General features: G+C 39.0%; 1 long non-coding RNA gene across 1 annotated transcript in view, besides 2 other annotated features; it reads left to right on the top strand.

Moving 5' to 3' along the window:
- Positions 1-18,088, top strand: part of DMP1-AS1 (DMP1 and DSPP antisense RNA 1) — a 164,356-nt gene that overhangs the window by 48,416 nt on the left and 97,852 nt on the right. Inside the window, exon 3 of the long non-coding RNA NR_198971.1 lies at positions 10,875-11,009. This is a non-coding gene — a long non-coding RNA (DMP1 and DSPP antisense RNA 1). The remainder of the gene's footprint in view (positions 1-10,874; positions 11,010-18,088) is intronic.
- Positions 2,375-3,318: an enhancer, noted in NCBI's record as "NANOG-H3K27ac-H3K4me1 hESC enhancer chr4:88601833-88602776 (GRCh37/hg19 assembly coordinates)". NCBI's record gives its function as "activates a minimal SCP1, AML or CMV promoter by ChIP-STARR-seq in naive H9 embryonic stem cells {active_cell/tissue: H9 hESC(naive)}" and the evidence as "EXISTENCE:reporter gene assay evidence [ECO:0000049][PMID:30033119]".
- Positions 4,188-4,482: an enhancer, noted in NCBI's record as "tiled region #8695; K562 Activating non-DNase unmatched - State 12:CtcfO". NCBI's record gives its function as "activates a minimal TATA promoter and a strong SV40 promoter by Sharpr-MPRA in K562 cells {active_cell/tissue: K562}" and the evidence as "EXISTENCE:reporter gene assay evidence [ECO:0000049][PMID:27701403]".

Raw genomic sequence — 18,088 nt, 5'->3', positions numbered from 1 at the left:
GAGAAGGTAGAAGAATTTGGGCCCCAGTGCACAGGTAGATGGTGCTGCCTGGACAGAATACAGGCAGTCCTTAAATCAGGACACAGTAAGGATAAAGATGGAGGGAGTTGGAGATGTTTGTAGATGTGAGCATTGAGTGATCAGGGAGATTGTGCTCACTGGTTTCTATTTTCTTTGCAAAATGGAAGAAAAAGTCATTTCCTGAGAGTTGGGAGAAGAGCAGAGATGTAAGAAGAAGAGCGGAGATCCTGGGCTCAGGTGATAAGGGAAACTCATGAGAGGGCATATGATTTGGAATGGTTGTTATTTGCTCTCTCCTGCTGGCTGAACACAAACTACTCTTCTCTAAGCACCCAAACATAGACACATAGCCACACACAAACGTAGGTATGCAAATAGGAAAAAATGCAGCTGAACATAATCTCTCAAATACCCCACTAGGATTGTAACATTCTTTCTTTTATTTACTATATAGCATGTGCTAGGTGTGGGGCAAAATTCAAAGATAGCCTCCCGTGATCCTCACTTCCTGATAGTCATGGCTTTGTGTAATCCCCTCCTCTTAAGTGTAAGCTGGATCTAAAAACTTGCTATCAACGAACAGAATACAGCAAAAAGATGAGATGTCACTTCTGAGATTAGATTATGGAAGACTATGACTTGTCTTGCTCACTCTCTTGCTTTCTCCCTCCAGTGGAAATTGACTTCCTTGTTCTGAGCTGCCCCATGGAGAGGCCATGTGGCAAAGAATTGAGGGTGGCCTCCAGCCAACAGCCAGCAAGGAACTGTGGCCTTCGGTGGGAGGAACAGAATCCAACTAACAACCATATGAGTGAGCTTGGAAGCAGATGCTTCCCCGGTTGAGACCTGAGATGACTGTAGACCCAGTTGACACCTTGATTGCAGCCTATGAAAGGCCCTAAAGCAGGGGACCCAGCTAAGCCAAGGCCAGGTTCCTGACCCATAGGAACTGTGAGATAATAAAATTTTTTTTTTGTAAACCACTAAGTTTTGGGATAATTTGTTACACAGCAACAGATGACTAATACACTCACAGATTTTACACTTCTGTTTCTCAAGTACACAGTCCCCTTCAAATAACTAAAACTTTCCCTGTCCCTGAGTATTTACCATGACAATAACAAAATAAATACATTGTATAGAATGGGCAAGAATTGAGTAGGAGGTGGAAGAGAAGTTTAAAGGAAAAGTGGGGAAATTGATCAGGATATAAGTCAGTAATTTCACCTGTATGGGAGCAGACTAGGATACAAGACAACCCAGAGGAATGAAAAAGTGAAGGAGAAAAAGAAAAGGATTTTGAACAAAAGGAGTGGAGGCATGAAGGAGACAAGCCCTCCCCAAACTTGCTTTAAATGAGCACTAAATAAACTCAGTGTTTAAGGAATAGGTAAATGAGTAGCCTTTGCCACAGATCAGCCAAGATTCCTCAGTGTAGATACTGATTTTAGACTGTGAAATAGCAAATTGTGATATAGAAGCAAGTCAGCTGCCCAAGATAGCTCAGTGCCTATCTAGTGGGATAGGGCATTGGATTAAGTTCTTTAGGTTCCATGGCACAGGACAGCATTACCTCATGTCTAGGCCTCAATAATTACCAGGCACAATATCAGGTCTGTGCAGCCCCAGCTTTATCTCCCAGAAACCAACCTGCTTCTCCCATCTGCATGGTTAGGACACATCCATTTTGAACAACTTGATCACATTCCACTGGTCGCAGATGATCCACCCAAATTAGGCTAGTCAAAATTTGCCTTTGTTCTCCCAAATCACAGATGTTTTAATGCAACAGTGACAATATCATCAATCCTCTGGATTTTAGAAGAGTAAAAAGAGCATGTAGTGTACCTATACATTCCGTCTAGTTATAATCCTTTTCTATTTCTTATTGGTTGTCTAGTCTGAGTAATATGGATAACATTTCTTTAATCAAATAAAAATAATACAGAGGTCCTAGTTAAATGGAGCCCAAATTAGACTTGAATCAAGAACTCCTGGATTTAGTCTCCCACACTGTTTTTGCCTTTTAAGAAAAGGCACATTATTTGGACTGGGATCCTGATTTCATTATGTTTTCAATATTTAAAAGGATCCTACTAATGTCTCCTCTGAGTGTTAAATATGTTTATGATTCAAGTCCCCATTTTTGGTGTTGGGTATAAGGAAAATTACATGTCAGAAATAGAATCCGTACTCTCAGAAAGAAAATTGCTACTCTTGGGTGTCTTTTTAAAGGTTCTGAGATTCATGATGGTGCTTCTGCCGAAATAGAGAAGCCAGTTCAGATCTGACTCTTATGAAAGTAAATTTTCAAAACTTAAAGCAATTCATTGAGTTATTAATTTGAGAATATAAGAACTAAATTTAAATCCTTCTTGACCTATATTACGATCTGCCACAAAAATCCTGGTGGACGTTCTAAGCCAGTTCAAAACCATCTGCATCTTCAAATCACTCGATTGCATTCATGTCATCCCCTCATGGTTCCACCTTTTCCCTTTTCTTGTTTTGATTTATAGTATTTGGAGTTCTTTGATGCTTTCTTTCACCTTTTATCTAATCATTCTCCATGTTGTACAAATTCTTTCCCCCAAATGTCTCCTATGTATGTCCTCTTTTTATTGTTCCTTCAACATCACCGTGGCACAGTACAGCATTACTTCACATCTAGGCCTCAATATGTACGGGGCACATTGTCAAGTCTTTGCAATCCCAGCCTCATCTTCCAGGAACTGACCTGCTTCTCCCATCTGCATGGTTAGGACACAACCATTTTGAACAACTTGATCGTATTCCACTGGTCACAAATGATCAGTCCGAATTAGGCTAATCAAAATCCTTCCCTAAGACTAACAAAATAATCCGTTTCTGTGATGATGGAAAATGTAGAATCTGGGTTGATGGTCATATTCTCCCCGTGTGTACCAAAAAAAGAGGCCGAGTGCAGTGGCTCATGCCTGTAATCCCAGCACTTTGGGAGGCCGAGGCAGGCAGATCACTTGAGGTTGGGAGTTCGAGACCAGCCTGATCAACATGGAGAAACCCCGTCTCTACTAAAAATTCAGAAAAATTAGCCAGATGTGGTGGCACATGCCTGTAATTCCAGCTACTCAAGAGGCTGAGGCAGGAGAATCGTTTGAACCCGGGAGGTGGGGTGGGAGTGAGCCGAGATTGTGCCACTGCACTCCAGCCTGGGCAACAAGAGCGAAACTCCGTCTAAAAAAATAGAAAGAGAGAGAGAAAGTGCCTGTCTTCAAGAGAGAGAAGGAAACAAATACATAGATAAGAGCAAAGACAGAAATTAGAGGCAGAGGTCTGATAGTGGTCACCTTTCCTGTTGATATTATTCCTCGGGCCTGCTGCATTCCAATTCTTTATAATGAACTCCTTTTTAAATTTCAGTAATTTAAATAGCTCTAACTAAAACACTGCGGGAATCTCCTAATTGTTCTCCCTGCTTCCTGTCGTTCCCTATTTGTATCCATCCTCTATGCCACTGCAGGAGAGGCCAAATTTACCCCTACTCACTTAGAGATTTTTGGCTGCGCCTGAGACTGAAATTGGTGTAAGACAGACTACTTGGAGAAAAGTATACACATTTCTTTAATACAAGTTTTGCATGGCGCAAGAGCCCTCATAAAAAATGAAGACCCCAAGATGCAGTTACAGTTGAAGATTTAGATAGTGAATTGGACAAAGAGCAGTAAATTGTGAAAATGTGACAAGGCCAAGGGGTTTGGGCTAGGGGAGTTAAGTAAGCGGATATGTGACTAGGAAGATAAGGGTTAATTTAATAAGGTTTGTTTGCACAGATTCCCCTAAGCTTCAGCTTCCCCCTGCTGATTAGAATGGAACTTTCCCTCTGGAATAAGAAGGACATCTTTCACATGGGACTTCCATCGCCTGCTGTTAAGAAACAGAAGGAAAGTCAGCGTGACCTTCTTGCACCTGCTGTTTTCCAAGTGCCTTCAACTCCAAATAATCAGTATTCCAGAGCAGCATATTGTGACGTCATGTTCTTAACTCTTTCACCACTGACAGACAGATAAATTGGAATCAGTGGGTGAAAGCTCTTAACTTTCAGATTAATGAATTAAACTTTTTGAATAATCAAAGGGAATCTATGCGCAGTTGTAGGGAGGGGGCGACGTAGGGGAAAAGTTAGTTTTACAAAGTGAAGCTAACTCAGTTTAATAAATAGTTTTAGAAGTTTTTAGTGGTTAACAAAAGACTGCATCTCTCTTATGCAAGAACTGCCCATGTTTCATCTTGTCCGAGGTTGACCATCCGCCTGTGCTCTCAATGAGACTTCTAGCCCCTCAGAGACCACACCAGCGAGCAACATCGCCACCTGCTGGGAGTTAGAAAAATTACAGAATTGGATTATCTTTATTCAAATATTCTTGGATTTCAGGGTTTAAAGGTATATTTAAAAACCCTGTTTTTTTTAAGAGAAATATAAACAAGTTCCAGTTGTGTTTAATGATAATTTTTATAGTTTATGTCATAACGGTATTGTTAAATTATAACTCTTAGACTTGAACTCTGGAAAGGCTGCAATTTAGGAATTGCTGTTGTCTTTGAGTAATTTACATTTTAACGCTCAATTGGTGCCATTAAATCACCAGCATTAAATCAAGAAACTATAGCCTATGTGTTTTGCGATAGATGGGGGTTAAGGCACATATGATTTTGTGATTCTCCATTCAAACTGGGTGGAAGAATAAATGTAATTAAATTAAAAGGCATCTTGCTAGAGGGAAAAGTTGTTCAGTGTTACTCTTGGTAATGGATGCTCTTTTCTTTAGTCAATTTACAAGAGGCAATCTAGGGTTTTAAGTAGCAAAATTATATTTGCCTAAAGTTGTTCATTGCTTCGTTACTAATACCAAAAAAAAAGAGAAGAAAGATGGACAAGTAATTAAGTAATGTATGATACCTTGAAAACTGTAAAAATCTAAGAATATGTAAGTTAAATGAGGAAAATAAAATTGCTGTAATATTGCAACTGTGGAAAAATATGCATGCTTATGGAATGGGGCCCCAGGAAGTCAAGCTGTGTTTCTCCTTATGGAACTCTTCATGTTAAAGCATTTGCATGTTCCTTATGGTACCTTTGCCATGTGTCATAATCCTAACCATATTAATCTAGTTTTGGCCAAGGTCTGAAGCACCCTGTCCCACTTCCTTCTATAGAATCTTCTCTAGGCCACTGACCTCATGTGGATTAGATTTCAATTTGCCATAAACCTTCAGGCTTGCTGTTGAACCTCTCCCTGTGTTCACTACTGTCCTTAATACTGCATTTGAAAAGTCGGGAAGGTACAGTCCACTCCCAGATAGAAAATCGTAACATTGCAGCATCAAGCACATATACAATCTCCAGAGGACAGTGAAAACAGTTCTTTACTTTGGCACTCAGACAATTATTAATCCACGTGGTATCCAGTTCCCATGGACATAAGGATGTCTCTGGTCTCCCTTCTGTGTCTTCCTCTTTCTTCTCTTCTCTCCTTTCATGCCTTCTTATTTTACTCCTTTCTTATCCCTCAGGGTCATTTGGTTCCATCAAATTTACCCCTTGGTGAAGCTAGAGGAGAGAAAAGTGGGGAGAGTAATTCACATCCCTTAAGTCCTGCATAGGGAAAGACAAAGGACAGTGATCCTTTGAGGTCCATCCTCAGAGTGAAATATCTAAAAGACAAACAAAAACTTTCTCTTACTGATATTGTCTTCATTTTAAAACATAGCAAAGCTCGTCCTTTCTGCATCTATGTAAATTCCCTATGTATTACTCTCTTTTGATATTTCCTGGGATTGGAGGGGAAGCATGATTTAAGAGGGGAAACACCTAACCCGGGAAGGAGATGAGGGAGGGTTGAAGTTCTACTTGGGGTGGGAGTGGATGTGAGCCCAATGACCATGACCCATTCAGACTCCCCACCCTCCCTCCGCTAGTCAGGCCAGCTTCCAGCGTGCTTCCTTCCTCCCCACGGGGGACTTCCAGCCAATCTGCTAGACCTACAATTTATAAAGGATAGCTTGTGTTGCATAAAAGGATGGTAGCGGTCTCTTTCATATCAGTTACACAACGAGGCCTCTGAGCAAACTCTACATTTGCATTTTGTTGCTTAAAATAATAGTTATGATCTGTGCTGAAAAGAGAAGGCCAGACTTTCTGTTTCATGTGTCTGACCATGAGACCTCCGGTCTGTAGCTATTTTTCCTGCTGTAATTTCTTCCATCTGTTGTATTGTGGTACAAGGACAGAGGGAAACCATTCACACACTTAGGTGAGATTTCTTTTGATGACGAGGTAGATGCTAATGGAAAGCCAGTGAGAGTGAAACTCAGAGACATTACATTATAATTGACCTTGGGATGTGCAGTTTATCAAAAACTATTCTTACATTTTTTTCAGATGGCTGGTTATACCTTTGCTAGTCACTATCTGTGAGCTGATCAAAGCTACAAGTGCCAGTTACTGAAATGTTGGGCCTATTAATGTGTTGGAAGAAGAAGCAGGAGAGTCTATGTGACTGAGCTAAAAATTTAACCCATCATAAGAAATGGATGAGAGTTTGTTTAACATTCTATCTCCAATATTGATATATGCCTGGGACCCAAGAATGACCAAAAGTTTCCAGAAGTAATGCTGACTGCACTTTAGAATTTAAAAGTACCACTGCAGAGGCCTAATCTCAGAACAGTTAAATGAGAATCTCTAGGATGGAGCCAAGACAATAACATTCTTTAAAAGCTCCTCAGGTGATGTGCATCCAGGGCTGAGAACTAGTACTAGTAGGCAGACTACAATGGAATAGGAGCAAACTTACATTCTTAACTCATTTTCACGACATTCATTTATAACGGACAGATTTGCAAACTGTACTTGCATAATTAATGTCCCAATTTAAAATTCTGACCAATAATTATAGTTTCTGATGTAGCAGTTTACCAAATAGTATCTAGCAGGTTGTTTTTTTAATTTACATTTTATTTTAGATTCGCGGGTGTGGGGGACACATGCATGTTTGTTACATGGGTAAATTGTGCACTGGTGGGGATCTGGGCTTCTAGTGTGCCCATTATCCAAATAGTAAACATTGTACCAAATGGGTAACTTTTCGATCTCACTCTCTCCCACTCACCACACTTTTGATGTCCTCGGTGTCTATTACTTCCATCTTTATGTCCATGTGTACCCATTGCTTAGCTTCCATTTATAATTGAGGACATGTGGTATTTGCTTTTCTGTTTTCGAGTTAGTTTGATTAGGATAATGCCTTCCAGCTCCATCCATGTTGCTGCAAAGGACATAATTTTATTTTTTATGGCTGCATAATATTCCATGGTGTATAGATACCATATTTTCCTTATCCAGTCAATTGCTGATGGACACTTAGGTTGATTCCATGACTTTGCTATTGTGAATAGTACCATGGTGAACGTAAGTACAGGTGTCTTTTTTGTATAATGATTTTTTTTTCCTTTGGGTAGATACCCAGTAATGGGATTACTAGGTCAAATTGTAGTTTTATTTTTAGTTCCTTGGGACATACTTCTACCGTTTTCCATGGAGATTGAACTAATTTATATTCCCACCTACAGTGTATGAGCATTTCCTTTTCTCTGCATCCATGCCAACATTTGTGGTTTTAAAAATTGTTTTAATAATAACCATTCTGACTGACGTAAGATAACTCATTGTAGTTTTAATTTGCATTTGATAATTAGTGATGTTGAGCATTTTTTCTTGTGTCTTTTGGCCACTCTATTCTATGATCAGGATGAGCATCTAAGTCAAATTATGGACTAATCAGCGCATTGCAAGCTGTAGCCCAGACAATTTCATATGAAGTCACCCTTCCCATTATCCTATTATCAGTTCTACTGATAAGATTATTCATGTCCTTTGCTCAGTTTTTAATTGAGTTGTTTGCTTTTTTCTTAAGTTGTTTAAGTTCCTTATAGAGTTTAGATATTAATTTTTTGTCAGTGGCAATTATTCTGTCCCATGATGTAAGTTGTCTCTTTATTGTTTATTTCTTTTGCTGTGCAGAAGCTTTTTAGTTTAATTAAGTACTATTTGTCTGTTTTTGGTTTTGTTATATTTGCTTTTGGGTACTTCATCATAAAATCTTTGCCTAGGTCAATGTCTGGAAGAATTTTTTCTAGATTTTCTTCTAGGATGTTTACAGTTTCCCAAAACTTACTTTTTTTTTTTTTTTCCCTGGAGACGGAGTCTCACTCTGTCACCAGGCTGGAGTGCAGTAGAGCCATCTTGGCTCACTGCAACCTCCGACTCCCTGGTTCAAGCGATTCTCCTGCCTCAGCCTACCAAGTAGCTGGGATTAAAGGCACATGCCACCACGCCTAGCTAATTTTTGTATTTTTGGTAGAGACAGGGTTTCACCATGTTGACCAGGATGGTCTTGATCTCCTGACCTTGTGATCCACCTGCCTCAGCCTCCCAAAGTGCTGGGATTACAGACATGAGCCACTGTGCCTTGCCCAGATCTTACTCTTAAGTTGTTAATATATCTTGAGTTGATTTTTATATATGATGAGAGATAGGGATCCAGTTTCATTCTTCTGCATATAGCTAGCCAATTTCTCCAGTATTATTTATTGAATAGAGTGTCCTTTCCCTATTGTTTATTTTGGTCAGCTTTGTCAAATATCAGTTGGTTGTAGGTATGTGGCTTTATTTCTGGATTCTCTACTCTGTTCCATTGATCTATGTGTTGTTTTTTTTTCCAATACCATGCTGTTTTAGTTACTATAGTCTTGTAGTATAATTTGATGTCAGGCAATGTGATTGATATGTTTTGGCTGTGTACCCACCAAAATCTCATCTTGAATTCCTACATGTTGTTCAAGGGACCCAGTGGGGAGGTAATTGAATCATGGGGGCAGGTCTTTCCCATGCTGTTCTCATGATAGTGAATAAGTCTCATGAGATCTGATGGTTTTATAAGGGGGAGTTTCCCTGCACAAGCTCTCCCTCTTTGTCTTCCACCTTCCACGTAAGACATGACTTGCTCCTCCTTGCCTTCCACCGTGTTTGTGAGGCCTCCCCAGCCATGTGGAACTGTAAGTCCATTAAACCTCCTCATTTTATAAATTGCCCAGTCTTGAGTATGTCTTCATCAGCAACATGAAAATGGTATAGTAAATTAGTACCAGTAGAATGGGGCACTGCTGAAAAGATACCTGAAAATGTGGAAGCAACTTTGGAACTGGGTAACAGGCAGAGGTTGGAATAATTTGGAGGGCTTAGAAGAATACAGGAAAATGTGAGAAAGTTTGGAACTCCCTAGAGACTTGTTGAATGGCTTTGACCAAAATGTTAATAATTATATGGATAATGAAATCCAGGCTGATGTGGTCTCAGATAAAAATGAGAAACTTGTTGGGACCTGGAGCAAAGGTGACTCTTGTTGTGTATTAACAAAGAGACTGGTTGCATTTTGCCCCTGCCCTAGAGATTTGTGGAACCTTGAACTTGAGAGAGATGATTTAGGGTATCTGGCAGAAGAAATTTCTAAGTAGCAAAGCATTCAAGAGGTGACTTGGGTGCCAAAGGCATTTAGTTTTAAAAGGGAAACAGGGCATAAATGTTCGGAAAATTTGCAGCCTGACAATGTGATAGAAAAGAAAATCCCATTTTCTGAGGAGAAATTTAAGCCAGCTGCAGAAAATTACATGAGTAATGAGGAGCCCAATGTTAATCACCAGGGCAATGGGGAAAATGTCTCTAGGGCATTTCAGAGTTCTTCATGGCAGCCCCTCCCATCACAGGCCCAGAGGTTTAGCAGGAAAAAATGGTTTTGTGGGCCAGGTCCAGGGTCCCTCTGCTGTGTACAGTCTAGAGACTAGGAGCCCTGCATCCCAGCTGCTCCAGCAAGACTAAAAGGGGCCAAGGTACAGCTTGGGTTGTTACTTCACAGAAGTCAAGAATTGAGGTTTGGGAACCTCTGTGTAGATTTTAAAGGATGTACATAAATTCCTGGATGCCCAGGCAGAAGTTTGCTGCAGGGGTGGGGCCCCCATGGAGAACCTCTGCTAAGGTAGTGTGGAAGGGAAATGTGGGTTTGGAGCCCCCACACAGAGTCCCTACTGGGGCACAGTTTAGTGGAGTTGTGGGAAGGAGGCCACTGTCCTCCAGACCCCAGAATGGTAGATCCACTGACAGCTTGCACCATGTGGCTGGAAAAGCTACAGACAAAATGTCAGCCCGTGAAAGCAGCTGGGAGGGAGGCTGTACCCTGCAAAGCCACAAGGCAGAGCTGTCCAAGGCTGTGGGAGCCCACTTCCTGCATCAGCATGACCAGGATGTGAGAATGGAGTCAAAGGAGATCATTTTGGAGCTCTAAGATTTAACTGCCCCCCTGGATTTCAGACTGGCATGAGGCCTGTAGCACCTTTGTTTTAGCCAACTTCTCCCATTTGGAATGGCTATATTTACCCAATGCCTGTACCCCCAATTGTATCAAGGAAGTAACTAACTTGCTTTTGATTTTATGGGTTCATAGGCAGAAGGGATTTGCCTTGTCTTGGATGACACTTTGGACTGTAGACTATTGAGTTAATGCTGAAATGAATTAAGACTTTGGGGGACTGTTGGGAAGGCATGATTGGTTTTGAAATGTGAAAACATGAGATTTGGGAGGTGCCAGGGTTAAAATGATATGGTTTGGTTGTGTCCCTACCCAAATCTGTTCTTGAATTCCTAAATGTTGAGGGAGGGACCCAGTGGGAGGTAATTGAATCATGGGGGTAGTTCTTTCCCATGCTGTTTTCATGATAGTGAATAAGTCTCATAAAATCTGATTTTTTTTTTTTTTTAGATGGAGTCTCAGTTTTATAAGGGGGAGTTTCCCTGCACAAGCTCTCTCTCTTTGTCTGCTGCCATTCATGTAAAATGTGACTTGCTCCTCCTTGCCTTCCGTCATGATTGTGATGCCTCCCAGCCATGTGGAAATGTAAGTTTGTTAAACCTCTTTCTTTTGTAAATTGCCCAGTCTTGGGTATGTCTTTATCAGCAGCATGAAAATGGACTAACACAGTGATACCTCCAGCTATGTTCTTTTTGCTTAGGATGGCTTTGGCTAGTCAGCCTTTTTTGATTCCATATGAACTTTAGGATTGTTTTTCGAATTCTGTGAAAAAAATGACTTTAGTAATTTGATAAGGATTGTGTTGAATCTACAGATTGCTTTGATTAGTATGGCGATTTTAACAGTATTGATTTTTCCCGTCCATGAGCATGGGATATTTTTCCATTTATTTGTGTCATTTGTGATTTCTTTCATTAGGTTTTGTAGTTGTGTTTATAGAGATCTTTCACTGCCTTGGTTAAATGTATTCCTAGGTCTTTTAATTTTTTGTAGCTATTGTAAATGGGATCAGGTTTTTGATTGGTTCTCAGCTTGAATATTATTGGTATAAAAATGTTACTGGTATTTGTATGTTGATTTTGTATCCTGAAACTTTACTGAAGTTGCTTAAGTCTCAGAGTCATTTGGAGGAGTTTTTAGGGTTTTCTAGGTATATGATATGTCATCAGTAAACAGAGATAATTTTACTACCTCTTTTCCAATTTGCATATTTTTCATTTCTTTCTCTTACCTGATTTTATGCTCTGGCTAGTACTTCTAGTACTGTGTTTAAAAGGAGTTGTGAAAGTGGACATCCTTGTCTTATTCCAGTTCTTAGAGGGAATGCTTTCATCTTTTTCCCATTCAGTATGATGTTGGATGTGATTTTGTCATATATGGCTCTATGGTTCCTATTCTTTTGAGGTATTTTTTTTTGATGCTAGTTTGTTGAGGGTTTTTATCATAAAAGGATGTTGGGTTTTATCGAATGCCTTTTTTTTCAGCAGCTATTGAGTTGATCATATGGTTTGTCTTTTTACTTACTTTTATGTGGTAAATCACATTTATTGATTTGCAGTTGCTGAACCGTCCTTGCATTCCTGGAATAAAACCCACTCAATTGTGGTGAATTATCTTTTTGATGTGGTGTTGACTTTGGTTTGCTAGTATTTTGTTGAGGATTTTTGCATCTATGTTCATCAGGGATATGGACCTGTAGTTTTCCTTTTCTGTGGTGTCCTTGCCTGATTTGGTATCAGGGTGATGCTGGTTTCATAGAATGAGGGAGAAATTCCTCCTCCTTGACTTTTTGGAACAATTTCAGTAAGACTCATACCAGGTCTTTTTTATATATCTGGTAAAATTTGGTGGTGAGTCCATCTGGTCCTAGGCTTGTTGGAAGATTTTTTATTACTGGTTCAATTTCATTACTCATTATTGGTTTATTCAGGACTTCTAATTCTTCCTTGTTCAATCTTGGGGTGTTGTATGTTTTCAGGAATTTATCCATTTCCTCTAGGTTTTCCAGTTTGTGCACATAGTGGTGTATGTCACAGTAGTCTCTGACAATCGTTTGTATTTCTATTTTATCAGTTGTAATGTCACCTTTCTCATTTCTGATTGTGCTTATTTGAATCTCCTCATTTTTTCTTGGTTAATCTAGCTAGCGGTCTGTCAATTTTTTATTCTTTCAAAAAACCAACTTTTTGTTTTGTTGATCCTTTATATAACTTTTTTTCTCAATTTCATTTTGTTATACTCTGATTTTTGTTATTTATTTCTTTCTGCTAGCTTGAGGTTTGGATTGCTCTTATTTTTCTAGTTTCTTGAGGTGCAATGTTAGGTTGTTAATTTGAGATCTTTCTACCTTTTAAATGTAATCTAACAGGTTCTTAAAATGGTGTAACTTCAATTTATTCCCATGGAATAGTTTATATGCTGGGGCATTCATTACCCAGATTTGCAAAGTCTAAATATTTTGTTCATTTTAACTGATTCTTTTGTGTATTTTTTGTATACTACATAGATATTAGTAAGGATATAGATTAAGCTTCTGTAATAAGGAGATCCTAAAATACAGTGCATCAAATAATGTTGAAGTTTGTTTCTCCCTCATGAAACAACCAAGAAGAAAAATATCTTTTGGTACAAAAAGGTTATTTCAATAGTTGGCAATTTACAGTCAATGGGAAGAGAGAAAAGGAAGAAGGCATAACACATCACTTCTGCTCACATTTCACTGGCCAGGACTTAGCCATATTTGTATTCCTTGATGCAAGGAAGGCTAGGAAATTGGAATTTCCATCTAGGCAGTCGTATACCTAACTGAAAACCAAAGATTTCTATTTCTAATACAAAGAAGAAGAGAATAGATATTGTGGAAATTGTCAGTCTCAGCAACATCTTCATAAAACTCATAATCTAAATATACTTGGAATATAAATAAATGATATTATTTATAATTTTATTTTGAGGATATTTTCATTATGCCTTTTAACTCTTCAGAAGCTTAAATTTTGTGTTTATTTGATCAGAAAGATATTTTATGATACACTATTTTCCTTTATACATAGCTTTATCTACTAACCCTAGTAAGTGACACATGAAATATGGATCACAGTATACTTCTAACTCTTTAAGATCAGCATTGACTTGGGTTTTTCAGGAAAACAAAAATTTAACAGAACAAGGTCTAGACAGATCTTATGATTGTAAATGTCATTCCTTTATTCAGCTGAATAGATTCCAGCAGCACACTCATGGACTCCTTTGAAAATCTCATGAAAATCATGGATTCTCTATTTACATAGATCAATAATTTTAGGGGGGTTAGGGAAACCTCTCCCTATGAAGCTCAATTTTAGAATGCCCTAACTGTATATAAAAGGATATCCTCCCATTTTTCACAGCACCCTGGCAAAGTATACATAAAAATCATGAATCTGTGTCTCCGGGACCCATCAGTGAAATTCCTGGAGCACTGGCCTAAGGTGAGACATCTCGCACAGGACCTGTGGCATAGTGCCTATGCAATAAATGTCAGTTCCCTTGCATTTCAAGGCTCCTCTATTCTCTGTGAGAATCCCTTGGTGTTTTACACACTCCCCTTGGGATGAGTGTTATGCCTCCCATCTTCCTCAACACAGATCACACCTCCCCCCCGCCATTCCCACATCATTAAATGCTGCTTCTCCTTCTGGCATGGACATGTTTCTTCACTTCATCAGTGGAACATTTTTTAATCTTTTTGCTCACTCAGCATCAGAACTTTTTTTTTACATATGGTGCATATATTATCCCTTTACATGTTTGCACATGAGACAAAATATACCTTGTGATATAGACGCCAAAAATGGAAGATGCTATCTTTCTAAATTAACTTGTAACTAGCACGTGGGCACTTGGTATAGGCTCTTCTTCAAATAGAGAATTAAGAACTTGTGATACAACAAACCAGGGCCTATGGAGAAAGGCCTCTGGCAGCAGTGACAGCTGGAGATTAGAGGCACGAGTAGTTCCAATGTTATTGGCAGCATCTAGAGTTATTGCCAGTGGGATCAGCAGTACAAGCCACAGTGTCTAGTGCTTTGTGGCAATATCTGCAGCTTCCAGGCTGAATGATTCTGCTGTGCACTAAACCATGTTTGTTAAAGACTTCAGTATAACCTTCCATTTTTGGAAATCAATATTTCTAGAGTTTCTCCAAAATCACCACTGCAGTTTTTTGTTTGTTTTGGAAAAACTTAAATAGTAATCTTTATCACTCTGATCTATATCTTCATGAGGAAACTTTGGGAGAATAAGAATGAACTCTACTAAATGTGGCTCTCTCAAAATAACAGAACTAGGAAAACAAGCCATTAGGAAGTGACTGGGAGGCTCTTGAGTTCTTTAAGTATTGAGATCAAACAGAGAACATAGCATTTCCCTTGCCTATTTTATTTTGAGCAGATAAGGTCATATTCATGAATGTTATTCCACTGCTTAAAACTTTCAGTGCCTTGTCATTGAACTGAAATGAAACCTAGGCCCTGCCATTTCTTGGATTTCTAACTAGAGTAATTAACTTAGCTTTCTTATGCTTCATTTGCTCTTCTTTATTTTTTACATCTATTTTTAAGGGGGAGAGAGTTTATAATATCCATCTCAAAAACATTTATGCTATGTATAATATATCATGTATGAAAACCTAGTGCTGGGAAAGCTCTCAAGAAAAATGAAGACTACTCTCCTTAGTCTGTTATTCAGAGATCTTCCCATTGGATCCCAGCTCACCTTTCCAATCTCTTCTCTTACCATTTTCCCTTCCTCTTTCTCTTTTTCCATGCATCAGTGACTCCAGATTTTTTTAAATCACATCTTAACTTGCCATAAACAATTCTGTACATTTACTTTGGTGTTCTCTCTGCTAGGAATGTGCTTCTCCCCTGTTTTCTCATTCACTTCCTTAGATCAAACTTGTTTATGCCTAATGCCTGGATCATAACGTGTGCTTTATTGAAATAATGAATGTTAATGAGCAAATGGTCTCAGTTGGAAACCATCAATTTCTATTTATTTGGGAGCCACAAGGAGGTGCCCACCTCACCAGAGAATTAGGATGAGTAAAATAAGACTGCCATTTAGAAACTAAATTTTAAGAGCTATATAGATATGTAAAATCATGTAGACAAGAAAGAATGGCTCTGAGGCCAGCCAGACTCCATAGAAAGCAACTTGACTGTACTACTTTATTTAAAGAAAGAATGGCAATATTGGTGGACATGTAAGCTAGTACAGCCACTGCGGAGAACAATATTGAGGTTCCTCAACAACCTACAAATAGAACCAACATGTGATCCAACAATCTCACTACTGGGAATTCATCCAAAGGAAAGGAAATCATTATATTGAAGAGACATCTGTATCCCCATGTTTATTGTAGCACTATTCACAGTAGCCAAGATAAGGCATCAACCTAGGTGTCCAACAACAGATGAATGGATAAAGCAAATGTGGTATATATACACAATGGAATACTATTCAGCCATAAAAAGAATGGAATCCTGTCATCAACAGCAACAGGGATGGAACTGGAGGACATTAAGTGAAATAAGCCAGGAACAGAAAGCTAAGCACCACATGTTCTTACTCATATGTGGAAGCTAAAAGTAGCTGATCTCATAGAAGTGAAAAGTAGAACAGAGGATACTAGCTGCAGGGAAGGGTAGGAGGAAGATAGAGAGTTGTTAAGGGGTACAAAATTACAGCTAGATAGAAGGAGTCAATTCTAGTGTTCTATAGCACTGTAGGATGACTATATTTAACAATAATATACAGTTTCACTAATGCAGGAACAGAAAACCAAATACTGCATGTTCTCACTTGTAAGTGGGAGCTAAATGATGAGAACACATGGGCACATAGAGGGGAACAACACACACTGGGGCCTATCAGAGAGTAGAGGGTGGGAGAAGGGAGAGGATCAGGAAAATTAACTAATGAGTCCTAGGCTTAATACCTGAGTAATAAAATAATCTGTACAACAAACCCCCATGACACAAGTTTACCTGTGTAACAAACTGGCACATGTGCCCCTGAACTTAAAATAAAAGTTGACTTTAAAAAAAAGAAATTGGTTGTCTGATGAAAAAGAATGTGTGTATATATATACATATTATACAAAATATATACATAATATATAAAAAAGTATGTGTGTGTGTGTGTGTGTGTATATATATATATATATATATATATATATATATATATATATATATGGTTTCAAATAGCTGGAAGGAGGATATTGAACATTCCCAACACAAAAACATAATAAATGCTTGAGGTGATGGATATCCTATTTACCCTTATCTGATCACTATACATTGTATGTATCAAAATATAGCTATGTACGCCACAAGTATGTACAGTTATTACTTTTCAGTTTAACAATTTTTTAAAAATAAAGGGGCAATTTAATGAAGAGTGGATCAGCCCTCACAAGCTTAGAAAAATAAGAACCACTGAGGCAAAAGTTAATCATGGCAATTTAGAGCACTTTTCAGGGAGAGAGAATGTTTCAGTTCCTACTGTGAGGTTTCCAGGGAGCATCGTAGATGCACCGTCTTATTTTAGCCCAATGCTGTTCAGCATTCACACTGCATAGCTCCCTCTGTTCCCATTTCTGCTCACCATACAGGCTTTTCATTCTTATTCTTTCCCATTATGAATTTAAAATTATTTGCTAATTATAATTTGGATTCCCAAGTGGACTCATCTACTACAGACTTCAAGAGGAACTCCATGAGGAAACTTCTATACCTTGAAAGCCAAAGATCAAGTCCAGCCACCTTTCCTTTGAATAATGTGTCTCTACCACTTCCAACTGCGAGATACAACAATGCCTATAGCAAGCACATGAAATGAGTCAAGGGGAACTTAAAGGAAAACCCTCCTACATCTGCCCCAGAGGGGCGTTCTATCATGAACATAGCTGAAATTCTTATCACTATTCTTTCTTCTAAAAGTCCTGTGAATTATCTGGATAAAGGGGTTATAACAGGGCTCCTCATACCCCGGTTAGGAACCAAGCCACAACAACAAAAGGTAAGAGGCAGACGAGAAAGTGAAGCTTCATCTGTATTTACAGCTGCTCCCCACCGTTCATATTACTGCCTGATCTCTACCTCCTGTCAGATCAGCAGTGGCATTAGATTCTCATAGGAGTGGGAACCCTATTGTGAACTGTGTATATGCCTGATGATCTGTCACTGTCTCCCATCACCCCCAGATGGAACCATCTAGTTACAGGACAACAAGCTCAGGGCTGATTCTACACTATGGGGAGTTGTATAATTATTTCATTATATATTCCAATGTAATAATAATAGAAAATAAGTGCACAATAAATGTAATGCACTTGAATAACCCTGAAACCATCCCCCTCACCCCTCATCCCTGGAAAAATTGTCTTCCATGAAACTGGTCCCTGACAGCAGAAAGTTTGGGGACCACTGGGTTACAGAAGCTAGGAACGCTAGCTAACATAACATAAGTTTCTAAGTCTCTGTTCATTAAGCATTTTGGTTGCCGGGAACAAAGACTCACTCAAGTTGCCTGAAGAAAGGTGGGTGCCCTCATGCAGGCGGCATTCGAGAAGACAAAACATCCCAGAATCCAGGAAGGCTTGGGGGCAATAGAAGAGTCAA

This window comes from Homo sapiens, chromosome 4, assembly GCF_000001405.40.
Source record: "Homo sapiens chromosome 4, GRCh38.p14 Primary Assembly".
Lineage (NCBI taxonomy): Eukaryota > Metazoa > Chordata > Mammalia > Primates > Hominidae > Homo > Homo sapiens.
The sequence above is the reverse complement of the archived record's forward strand: the minus strand, read 5'-3'. Positions and strand labels throughout refer to the sequence as shown.